Source organism: Homo sapiens, chromosome 12 (assembly GCF_000001405.40).
Source record: "Homo sapiens chromosome 12, GRCh38.p14 Primary Assembly".
Classification (NCBI taxonomy): Eukaryota; Metazoa; Chordata; class Mammalia; order Primates; family Hominidae; genus Homo; species Homo sapiens.
In genome coordinates, this window is record NC_000012.12 from 53,022,977 (window position 1) to 53,035,888 (window position 12,912).

General features: G+C 43.2%; 1 protein-coding gene across 3 annotated transcripts in view; it reads left to right on the forward strand.

Moving 5' to 3' along the window:
- EIF4B (eukaryotic translation initiation factor 4B) overlaps nucleotides 1–12,912 on the forward strand; it is a 35,760-nt gene that overhangs the window by 16,521 nt on the left and 6,327 nt on the right. For 2 of the 3 annotated variants that reach the window (NM_001417.7, NM_001330654.2), the window contains 4 exons: nucleotides 4,806–4,943; nucleotides 5,039–5,212; nucleotides 10,830–11,058; nucleotides 11,636–11,733. In NM_001417.7, coding sequence (NP_001408.2) covers nucleotides 4,806–4,943; nucleotides 5,039–5,212; nucleotides 10,830–11,058; nucleotides 11,636–11,733 — 639 coding nt within the window. Of the gene's footprint in view, nucleotides 1–4,805; nucleotides 4,944–5,038; nucleotides 5,213–10,829; nucleotides 11,059–11,635; nucleotides 11,749–12,912 lie in introns of all 3 variants that reach the window. The other variant, NM_001300821.3, reaches the window with a different exon arrangement.

Genomic DNA, 12,912 nt, shown 5'->3' on the forward strand with positions numbered 1-12,912 from the left:
GACAAAACAAGACCCTGTCTACCAAAAAGAAAAAGAAAAAGCTGACGTGGTGGTACGCACCTGCAGTCCTAGCTGTTCAGCAAGCTGAGGCAAGAGGACTCCTTGAGCCCAGGAGGTCTAGACTGGGTGACAGAGCGAGACCCTGTCTCAAAAAAAAAAATCCAACAGATTCTACAAAGTGAGCTATTTGAAATAAGAGTTCAGCATGATTGCTGAGTGAAGAGCAGCATACAAAGATCAGTTGCATTACTTTTTGATATATATATATATTTTTGAGACGGAGTCTCGCTGTGTCGCCCAGGCTGGAGTGCAGTGGCGTGACCTTGGCTCACTGCAACCTCCACCTCCTGGATTCAAGTGATTCTCCTGCCTCAGCCTCCCAAGTAGCTGGGACTACAGGCGCGCGCCACCACACCCAGCTAATTTTTGTATTTTTAGTAGAGATGGGGTTTCACCATGTTGGCCAGGATAGTCTTGATCTCTTGACCTCATGATCCGCCCGCCTTGGCCTCCCAAAGTGCTGGGATTACAGGCGTGAGCCACTGCGCCTGGCCCATCAGTTGCATTACTATATGCTTGTAGCAAACAATTAAAATGTAAAATTTTTTTTTTTTTTTTTTTTTTGAGACAGAGTTTCGCTCTTGTTGCCCAGGCCGGAGTGCAATGGCATGATCTCAGGTCACCTCAACCTCCGCCTCCTAGGTTCAAGCGATTCTCCTGCCTCAGCCTCCCGAGTAGCTGGGATTACAGGCATGTGCCACCATGCCTGGCTAATTTTGTATTCTTAGTAGAGATGGGGTTTCTCCATGTTGGTCAGGCTGGTCTCGAACTCCTGACCTCAGGTGATCCTCCTGCTTCAGCCTCCCAAAGTGCTGGGATTACAGGCATGAGCCACTGCACCTGGCCTAAAATGTAACTTTCTAAAATAAAAATATTGATTCACTTTAAAAATACTCAAGATATAGCAGTGAACAAAGATACAGCAGTGTAATTTTTTTCTAATAAAAATTGATTCACTTAAATGCTCAAGATACAGCAGTGAACAAAAACAAGAAAATCCTGTCTTTATTGGGCATACATTATTATAGTGGAGGGAAGAGACAGTGTGTGAATAATTAAACAGTTGGGGTGCGGAAAGATAGGTGAGTGGGAAATATCATGGGGTAGGAGTAGAGATTAATTACATACATCACTTTAACAAAGACCTTTATGGGGAAAATTATGCAACTTTATTAAAATACACAAAAGTAGACCACACTATTTTTAAAATGGAAAGAAGCTACTACCTAGTAAAAATAAATAAATAGTGGTTTGTCTGTAATCAAATACTTAATAGCATAACAACAGGGATAAAATTCAAAACCTGTTACATTAAGGGGAAAAAAATTGTGTATAAATTTGAAAACAATACCATGTAGTATTAATGCATAAGTTGTAAAATTATAAAGCTACGCATGGTAATTTAACCACCCTTTTAATTGTTGGTGGGGATAGGGAAAATTCTGTTTTTAGTCTGTAACATATTTCTTTTAAACAAAAAACAAACATGGCAAAATATGACATTCACTAAACCTAAGTAATAGGTTCATAAGTTTGTTATAATGGTGTCTTTACTTTTCTGTATGTTTGAAATAGTTTAAGTAAAAACAGACCAACTTAAATTTACAAGCTCTTTGTTTTGTTTTGTTTTGTTTTGTTTTGACACAGTCTCTCTGTGTTGCCCAGACTGGAGTGCAGTGGCAATCTTGGCTCACTGCAACCTCTGCCTGCCAGGTTCAGGGTGTTCCTCATGCCTCAGCCTCCTGAGTAGCTGGGATTACAGATGCGCACCACCACACCTGGCTAATTTTTGTATTTTTTAGTAGAGATGGGGTTTCACCACGTTGGCCAGCTGGTCTCTAACTCCTTACCTCAGATGATCTGCCTGCCTTGACCTCCCAAAATGCTGGGATTACAGGTGTGAGCCAGCGCTCCCAGCACAAGCATTTTAATTTTGTGAGGTACCTTTTGAGCTTTGTACTAAATATAATTGGGGAAGCAGTAAGGGATATGTATAATTCCTTTTAGAGGAGAGTCCTTAACCTTTTAAGATGTAGAAGGAAGAAGAATGGGTCATAGGTCTGAAAGAAGGATAAATCAGCAAGTTTATATCTGACTTTTTACATGACTTTGTGACACAGCAAAGCCTTGGGGAGAACTATGTGAGGTGATTAACTTCAGCATTTATGCAAGAGATTCTATTGTTAACAGGAAGAAATGGCTCTTGAAAGAAAAAGCAGACAATCAGACCAAGGGTCCTGTTTTGAGTCCAGGGGCATGACTTTTCTCACCTGAAACCTTGAATTTAGAGCAAGCAGAATGGATAACGAGTGAGTGTGCTGTTGTTATCCAAAGCTGCCCCAAAGTCAACTTAGTTAACCTGAATTAAAGATCCAGAGACTCCTGTCCCAAGCATTAGGCCAAAAAGAGAACCCCGAGGGGTGTTGGGGGGTATTACACTCAGTATTCCTATGAAATGTCAGTAATAGCATGTGCTGCTTTTCTCCAGCATGGATCTATGCTTTCTCAGGAAACACAAGCTTATCATAATTTCAGTATTACCCAAATAAAATTAAGTGTAAATCGCATCTCCAGAAATTAAAACCACATTTCAAAATAAACACAGGGCTGATTTTCTTATATGTGTCCTGTTTTAGATCATTTCTATAATCATTTTACTAACATTAGCATGTTCTTTAATATATAAAGTTTATAATACCAGGAAATGTTATGTCTGGTCAGTAAAAATTATGTGGTTTCCAAAATGAAATCATTATTTAAAAGACAGCAGCCACAAGAAAAAGATCCCTGGCCGGGCATGGTGGCTCACGCCTGTAATCCCAGCACTTTGGGAGGCGGAGGCGGGCGGATCATGAGGTCAGGAGATTGAGACCATCCTGGCTAACACGGTGAAACCCTGTCCCTACTAAAAATACAAAAAAAAAATTAGCCGGACACGTGTAACCTCAGCTACTGGGGAGGCTGAGGCAAGAGAATCGCTTGGACCCGGGAGGTGGAGGTTGCAGTGAGCCCGCGATTGTGCCACTGCACTCCAGCTTGGGCGACAGAGTGAGACTCCGTCTCAAAAAAAAAAGAGAAAGAAAAAGATCCCTGTTTGTCCCCCATACATAAATTATCAGCTCTTAAAACGTGTAGGTTGTTTTAGTTAGTTAATTTATATTTAGAAATTCAGATTTTTTTTTTAACTTTAAAATCTGGGTTGCCAGCTTCTCTCAGAAAATTGGAAGATCCTAGCAACAGTCAGCTGGAGCTAAATAGCAGCTATCCCTTTTACAAACAACATAACGCTACCCACAGTTTGCTATCTGAGCTACTACGTTTCTTTATACAGATTTCTAGTATTTAGGGTCCTCTGATACTGAAATGCACATGTGTGTGTAAAATATAGTTTATAACATAAACAACATTGCAATGAATGTCTTTGTACATGTATCTTTATCACACATCCAATTATTTCCTCAGTGAATTTCAAGAAATTAAATTGTTGGTCAAGAAGGGTATACATGACTTCAAATCTTTTCATGCATAGTTCTAATACAACTTTCAGTATTTATACTAATTTATTGATTTATTTATTTATTTTGAGAGGAAGTCTCACTCTGTCACCCAGGCTGGAGTGCCTTGGCACAATCTTGGATCATTGCAACCTCTGCCTCCCTGGCTCAAGTGATCCTTCCACCTCATCCTCCCAAGTAGCTGGGACCACAGGCCTGCACCACCATGCCCGGCTAATTTTTTGTATATTTGATAGAGTTGTGGTTTCACCATGTTGCCCAGGCTGGTCTCAAACCCCTGAGCTCAGGCAATCCACCAACCTCAACCTCCCAAAGTGTATTTGTACCATTTAAAATTATGATCAGCAGTGCAGAAATTGATTTAAGCTCCTAAAATTCAATAGAAAATTATGTCCTGTTAGTCATATGTTGCATATATTGTTTCTCATTTTGTTTGCCTCTTAAAGTGATCTTTGAGGCTGGGTGTTACGGCTCAGGCCTATAATCCCAGCACTTTGGGAGACCAAGGCTGGAGGATTGCTTAAGCCCGGGAGTCCAAGACCAGCCTGGGCAGCAGAGAGAGACTGTCTCTCAAAAAAAAAAAAAATTTTTTTTTTTTTTTTTTTTGAGACATAGTCTCACTCTCTCGCCAGGCTGGAGTGCGGGGGCATGATCTCAGCGCAACCTCCGCCTCCCGGGTTCACACCATTCTCTTGTCTCATCCTCCCAAGTAGCTGGGACTGCAGGTGTGCGTCACCACGCCCAGCTAATTTTTGTATCCTTAGTAGAGACGGGGTTTCACCATGTTGGCCAGGATGGTCTCGATCTCTTGAACTCGTGATCTGCCCACCTCGGGCTCCCAAAGTGCTGCTGGGATTACAGGCATGAGCCACCGTGACCAGCTAAAAAAATTTTTTTAATTAAAAAATAAGTGGTCTTTGGGATCAAACATGGGAGATTCCCAACTGTATTGTTTTAGTGTCTTGTGCTTTGTTTTGTTTTTTGTTTTTGCATGTAAACCTCTTCTCCTTCTGGAAATTCATTATGGAATATTTAGGGATTTTTTAATTTCCAACCCACCCTTCCCAAATTATTAGCTGAGCAACAATTATTTCACCAGGGAAACTTTTTGAAGAAATCAGATAGAAAATTTAAATAAACAGATTCTTCCAAATTGGACTGATAGCTTACCGTGTTTCTATTAATGGTGTCAGAGAAAAGGGGATGGTGTTACTTGTCTGTTTCCTCTAGAGTATCGAGATCGTTATGATTCAGACCGGTATCGGGATGGGTATCGGGATGGGTATCGGGATGGCCCACGCCGGGATATGGATCGATATGGTGGCCGGGATCGCTATGATGACCGAGGCAGCAGAGACTATGATAGAGGTAATTGTAAAACATGTCGAATTGCTCTTTCAGTAACTTTGCCTTTTTTTTTTCCCCCTCCGCTGTGATGATTATAATTTGGGATATATTTACAGGCTATGATTCCCGGATAGGCAGTGGCAGAAGAGCATTTGGCAGTGGGTATCGCAGGGATGATGACTACAGAGGAGGCGGGGACCGCTATGAAGACCGATATGACAGACGGGATGATCGGTCGTGGAGCTCCAGAGATGATTACTCTCGGGATGATTATAGGCGTGATGATAGAGGTAATAGTTTTCTTTTTACGTACTTCATGGAGCAGAAACTGGGAAAACTACGGAAAATTTGTGATTGTGTTACGAACTACTGAGTTGGGCACAAATATAATTTGCACATTGTACAGGAAGCAGCAAAGCATAGTAGAAAGAGCATTGGCTGGCCAGGTGTGGGCAGATCACAAGGTCAGGAGATCGAGACCATCCTGGCTAATGGTGAAACCCCGTCTCTACCAGGTGTGGTGGCAGACACCTGTAGTCCCAGCTACTAGGGAGGCTGAGAGAGAAGAATGGTGGGAACCCGGGAGGCAGAGCTTGCAGTGAGTGGAGATGGCGCCGCTGCACTCCAGCCTGGGTGACAGAGTGAGACTCCCCATCTCAAAAAAAAAAAAAAAGCATTGGCTAAGGATGACATCAGTGGAAACACAGCAGTCGAATTGTTTTCATCTCATATGCCTTCACAGATAGATTTTTCAGTTAAAATTTATTGAATAAACAGTAGAAATGGAAAAAAAAGTTGCCAGATACTGTTATGTTGTGATCTCAGTAAATTACACTTAAAACAGATGGTTTTAGCTCCATTTTCCAAGTAAGGGAAATGAAATTCAGATTAAACATAGTCCTGTAGCCCATAATTGGTACTATGGGGTTAAAAACGAAGCATTAAGGCCAGGTGCAGTGGCTCACACCTGTAATCTCAGCACTTTGGAAGGCCAAGGTGGGCAGATCATTTGAGGTCAAGAGTTCGAGACCAGCCTAGCCAACATGGTGAAACCCCGTCTGTACTAAAAATACAAAAATTAGGTGGCCGTAGTGGCACATACCTATCATCCCAGCTACTCGGGTGGCTGAGGCAGGAGAATTGCTTGAGCCCAGAGGCAGAGGTTGCAGCGAGCTGAGATCGCACCACTGCACTCCAGCCTGGGCGACAGTGAGACTGTCTCAAAAAAAAAAAAGGATTGCTTTCTGTACCATTATACCACAATAATTGATGTTCATTAATTATAAAGGTGAGATTTTGGTGCACCTATTCTAAAATTATGCCCCTAATACTATAAGATATAAAATGTAAACTGTGTTACAAATCTAACCTGTTATAAAATACTAATAAATGGCCACCATTTGTGTTCTAACTTCAGTGATGTCATATAAAAGGTTATGGTATCTGGCCCAGAATTTTTTCTATCCTTTTTTTATTTTATTTTTTTTTTTTTGAGACGGAGTCTTGCTCTGTTTGTTGCCAGGCTGGAGTGCAGTGGCATGATCTCAGCTCACTGCAACCTTTGCGTCCTAGGTTCAAGCAATTCTCTTGCCTCAGCCTCCCGAGTAGCTGGGACTACAGGTGCACGCCACCATGCCCAGCTAATTTTTGTAGTTTTAGTAGAGACAGGGTTTCACCATGTTGGCCAGGCTGGTCTCAATCTCTTGACCTCGTGATCCGCCTGCCTTGGCCTCCCAAAGTGTTGGGATTACAGGCATGAGCCACCGTGCCCGGCCAAATTTTTCCTATCTTTAACATCTTTGTGTTAGTCCTAAACTTTGTGGCAATGGCTTTATATCCATCATCTCCTGTGATTCCCCAAGAAAGGAAAATCGATCTGGACAACTAATAAAACACAGTGAGATGACAGAATTCATCAGAGCCATATGGCAATTCTATTGCAGTGAGGTCTTTCCTTCTCCCTCAGAAAATGGTGAAGTCTTTACTCCTTCCTCAAAATAATAATAATAATTCAATGTTTGTTTTTTTTAAAAAAAACTTAGGCCAGCCATGGTGGCTCACATTTGTGATTCCAGCACTTTGAGAGGCCAAGGCAGGAGGATCACTTGAGTCCAGGAGTTCAAGACAAGCCCTGGCAACATAGTGAGACCCCATCTCTGCAAAAAATACAAAAGTTAGCTGAGCGTGGTAGCATGTGCCTGTAGTCCCCGTGTCTTAGGAGACTGAGGTAGGAGGGTCGCTTGAGCCTGGGAGGTCAAGGCTGCAGTTAGCCAAGGTCTCATTTCAGCTTGGGCAACATAGTGAGACCCCATCTCTGCAAAAAATATAAAAGTTAGCTGAGCGTGGTAGCATGTGCCTGTAGTCCCCGTGTCTTAGGAGACTGAGGTAGGAGGGTCGCTTGAGCCTGGGAGGTCAAGGCTGCAGTTAGCCAAGGTCTCATTTCAGCTTGGGCAACATAGTGAGACCCCATCTAAAAAATAATAAAATAGGAAATAGGTTTTAAAAAATTATATTCTTTTTTTTTTTTTTTTTTTTTTTTTGAGACGGAGTCTCTCTCTAGTTGCCCAGGCTAGAGTGCAATGGCGCGATCTCGGCTCACTGCAACCTCTGCCTCCCAGGTTCAAGTGATTCTCCTGCCTCAGCTTCCCAAGTAGCTGGGCTTGCCACCACGCCCGGCTAATTTTTGTATTTTTAGTAGAGACGGGGTTGCACCATGTTGGCCAGGATGGTCTGGATCTCTTGACCTTGTGATTCGCCCGCCTCGGCCTCCCAAAGTGCTGGGATTACAGGCGTGGGCCACTGCGCCCAGTGAAAAAACTACGTTCTTAAAAGCGATTTCCTCAAGCAAGAAGCCTAAAAATAATAGCTAACATTTATTAACCATTTACTCTGTTCCATCAGTGAGCTGAGGGCTTGTACAAGTATTGTTTAATTCTAAGACTTCTGTGTGGTATAGGTAAAATTACAAGTTAGAAAAGTGGAGGCTCAGATGTGGGCCTCATGTTCTCCTTGACTTCTGACCTTTTCCTCTCTCACACTGTCCCTTACCTCCCCACCAAGAGCTGCATACCTAATTTTTTATTTCTCTTCTTGCTCTTACCCCCCCATTCCCTCTAAGATTTGCCCTCTTGTCTCTAGTTGCTGCTGCTACCTTCGTTGAGGCCTCATTGCTGCACCCACGTTACTGGCCATTGCCTCCTAACAGAGTTCCCTTTCTTGCTCCGTTCTTCACATTGGCCCCAGTTGTCAGTTGTCTTTCTGGCATAAGATCTAATTACCTTATTCTCCTGTTTAGACCTGTCTAGTTTCCCCATGGCCTGGAACATAGCCCTTTCTCTATACCTCTGACATACACGGGCCTTCACTGTTTGCCCAGCCTTTACTTTTTTCTTCTTGAGACAGGATCTCACTCTGTCGCCCAGGCTAGAATTGCTGTGACATAATCATGGTTAACTGTAGCCTCAGCCTTCTGAGCTCAAGTGATCCTCCTTCCTCATCCTCCCCAGTAGCTGGGACTAGAGGTGCGTGCCATATGCCTGGCTAATTTTGATATTTTTTCTAAAGATGGGGTTTCTCCACATTGCCCAGGCTGGTTTTAAACTTCCAAGTTCAAGTGATCCACTTGCCCTCGGCCTACCAAAGTGCTGGGATTACAGGCGTGAGCCACTGTGCCCGGCTGCGTTCTTTTATTAATATCTTAAATGAGCTACTTTTTCTGAGCCCCTATTTTATCTTACAAAAGTGACGGGGCTATAACACAGATTTAAAATATGTTTAGGAACATATATAAACTGTCGGCTTAAAGCCCTCGTAGAAAATTTAGATCTTGTTAAACAGTACCCTCTATCTACAGGTACTATGTGCATATGTAGTAAAAGTATAAAATCAAGTGTGGGCATGATGAAGTCACCATCTAGTGGTTATTTAGAGGACAGAGTACAGCTGGTCATGTCATCAGGAGGTTTTACCTCTTTGTTAAGGTTACATTACTTAAGCCAGGTGATTGTATACATAGGCTTTCTTTATATTCTCTGTATCTTTTGTATATCCAAAATATTTAGGACAAACAATCATTTTTAGAAATTTAACTTCCTTGAAACACTTAGGTTTCTCTTGAAAGTGTTCTGACAACTTGAATTGAGGAAGAAATCAGACTGCCTGCCTTAAGAGTTTATTTGTTCAGTGTTACATGCTTTGCCCCATGAACCACCTGCCAAATTTATATTATACACAGAGACAAGGGTATAAGATCTAGAGTCTTCCTGGCTGGGCGTGGTGGCTCACATCTGTAACAGCACTTTGGGAAGCCAAGGCAAGCGGATCACTTGAGGTCGGGAGTTCAAGACCAGCCTGGCCAACATGGTGAAGCCCCATCTCTACTAAAAATACAAAAATTAGTTGGGCATGGTGCCACGTGCCTATACTCCCAGCTACTGAGGAAGCTGAGGCAGGAAAATCAGGGAGGCAGAGGTTGCAGTGAGTTGAGATCACACCACTGCCCTCCAGCCTGGGTGACAGAGCGAGACTGTCTCAAAAAAAATAAAGAACTAGAATCTTCCCTATCATATTGTATTAGTTCTTAACATGCAGATTTCGGAGCAAGATACTTTCATCCAGTAGTTTAATGATGGTCAAAAATTTCTTCCCATATAAAAGAAGTCTTGATAGATTATTAATTTATTACTTAAATGTTTACCATTTTTAGTCTTTCCTGTGGTCTTGTACTACATCATGGATGTGGTAGAAGAGTAATTGAACTTGGGTTTTTTTGTTTTTTTTTTTTTTTGAGATGGAGTTTGGCACTTGTTGCCCAGTTTGGAGTGCAGTGGTGTGTTCTCAGCTCACTGCAACCTCCGCCTCCCCGGTGGGTTCAAGCGATTCTCCTGCCTCAGTCTCCTGAGTAGCTGGGACTACAGGCATGTGCCACCACTCCTGGCTAATTTTGTATTTTTAGTAGAGATGGGGTTTCTCCATATTGGTCAGGCTGGTCTCGAACTCCTGATCTCAGGTGATCCGCCCGCCTCAGCCCCCCAAAGTGCTGGGATTACAGGCGTGAGCCATTGCGCCCGGCCAGAACTTGGTTATTTATGCCACCTATTTTTATTTTTATTTATTTTTATTTATTTATTTTAGGCGTAGTTTTGCTTTTGTTTTCCAGCCTGGAGGGCTGGAGTGCAGTGGTGCGATCCTGGCTCACCACAACCTCTGCCTCCCAGGTTCAAGCGATTCTCCTGCCTCAGCCTCCCGAGTAGCTGGGATTATAGGCATGCACCACCATGCCTGGCTAATTTTTTATTTTTACTAGAGACGGGGTTTCTCCATGTTGGTTGTGTTGGTCTCGAACTCCCGACCCCAGGTGATCCACCCGCCTCGGCCTCCCAAAGTATCGGGATTACAGACGTGAGCCACCACGCCCAGCCTGAGCTACCTATTTTCTTTTTTTTTTTTCTTTTTTTTATTTTTGAGACGGAGCCTTGCTCTGTCACCAGGCTGAAGTGCAGTAGCTCGATCTTGGCTCACTGCAACCTCTGCCTCCCAGGTTCAAGCAATTCTCTTGCCTCAGCCTCCTGAGTAGCTGGGACTACAGGTGCGCGCCCCAACGCCCAGCTAATTTTTGTATTTTTAGTAGAGACGGGGTTTCACCATGTTGTCCAGGATAGTCTCGATCTCTTGGCCTTGTGATCCACCCGCCTCGGCCTCCCAAAGTGCTGGGATTACAGGCGTGAGCCACCATGCCCAGCCTAAACTACCTGTTTTCTAATGATCTATTTGCCTTCTGTGGATTGGTTAGGCCACTAACTTGAATCTCATGTAGCATTTCATAGGAGTTATATCTGAGAAATCTGGCTTTCAGCCATCAGCTTCTGGTGATTGGAAAACTATTACTTAAAGTTTCATTTAACTTAGGTCCCCCCCAAAGACCCAAACTGAATCTAAAGCCTCGGAGTACTCCTAAGGAAGATGATTCCTCTGCTAGTACCTCCCAGTCCACTCGAGCTGCTTCTATCTTTGGAGGGGCAAAGCCTGTTGACACAGCTGCTAGAGAAAGAGAAGTAGAAGAACGGCTACAGAAGGAACAAGAGAAGTTGCAGCGTCAGCTGGATGAGCCAAAACTAGAACGACGGCCTCGGGAGAGGTGTGTTGTCTTGATGGATATCCCATCTAGGAATCCGGTGGTTCGTAATGGGGGCATTACATCCCCAGGGGCATTTGGGAAATTTGTGTCGTTATCACATTAGTGGTTGTCACTGATGGGCATTTAGTGGGCTGTGGCCAGGGGTGTTAGGCAGTATGCAGTGTTAGGGACAGTTTTACACAATGAAGAGTTGTTCCCTGTCCATTACAAAAGTGTTTACTATTAAAAGCTGGTATTGTATCTAAAAGGCTAGAGACCTACTATAATAAGTAATTGCCCTGAAAAACTAGGCCTGGTAATGAGTGGCTTGTAGAACTGTGTTGATTAGTAAAGAAGGGCAGTATTGTAGATTATGTAGGATACTGTTCTTAACCATATTAGTTGATTCTTGCTGAAGTATTTAGGGCCAAAGTGTGTCTTAATGTCTGTAGCTTTCAAATAGTTTGAGGGAAAGATAAATTTATATGCATATACACATATAGATGAAGTAAGTGATGGTTCTTGAGGGGTCAGCATGGGTCTAAGGTGGCCTTCACTGAGCCAGGCATAATGTGTATTTTGTGAATCTCTCGTACAGACACCCAAGCTGGCGAAGTGAAGAAACTCAGGAACGGGAACGGTCGAGGACAGGAAGTGAGTCATCACAAACTGGGACCTCCACCACATCTAGCAGAAGTAAGTCAGACCAGGGTGGGTATCGTGTTATTGCCGTTTTCCATAAACTATCCATAACCAAATTATGCAGAGACCCTGCAATATTTAAATTCAGTCATGAACTCTTTATTTGGGTTGCATGGGCCGATTGGAGTTTCATATCTTCTGCTCCAAAGAATCTGAGGAATGGGTACCAGAGTAGACCTAGATGATCTGCTTAATAATCTACCACTGAAGTGTATACTTGGTTGTTAGGTTTGTCTCTCTCTTTTTTTTTTTTTTTTTTTTTTGGTATATTTTCATTTTATGTCTTGACATCTTTGAATGTTGTTTATTCAGAACAGTCAACGGCTTGGAGTTTCATGTGAGCTGTCCCAAGACCAGCCTTTTTTGATGTTATCATCACCAGAGCAGTGTTCTCAAGCAGTGTTATTACTGGTTGATCAAGCACTTTTAGTGTTTTGGAAACCTAAATGGTTCAATTGTAATACCTCCCTTCCCTTACCATGATGTGTTTTTTTTGTATTTTGTTTTGAGACAGGGTCTTACTCTGTCACACAGGCTGGAGTGCAGTGGCATGATGATGGCTCACTGTAGCCTCACCTCCCTCAGCCCTCAGCCTCCCTAGTAGCTGGAACTGTAGGCATGCACCACTACACCCAGCTAAATTTTTTATTTATTTATTTTCTTTTTTTTTTGAGACCGAGTCTCGCTCTGTCGCCCAGGCTGGAGTGCAGTGGCGCGATCTCGGCTTACTGCAAGTTCTGCCTCCCGGGTTCATGCCATTCTCCTGCCTCAGCCTCCCGAGTAGCTGGGACTACAGGTGCCCACCACCACACCCAGCTAATTTTTTGTATTTTTAGTAGAGATGGGGTTTCACTGTGTTAGCCAGGATGGTCTCAATCTCCTGACCTCATGATCCACCCGACTCGGCCTCCCAAAGTACTGGGATTACAGGCGTCAGCCACCGCACCCAGCCTACACCCAGCTAAAATTTTGTAGAGATGGTTTCCCCATGTTGCCCAGGCTGGTCTCAGCCTCATAAAGTGCTGGGATTCCAAGGGCCAGCCACTGTGATATTTTTTAAGGTCTTTCCTCCCACCTCTAAATTGATTTGTACTTGCATTTCATTCATTTATTTATTTATTGAGATGGAGTCTCGCTCTGTTACCAGGCTGGAGTGCAGTGGCACGATTTTGG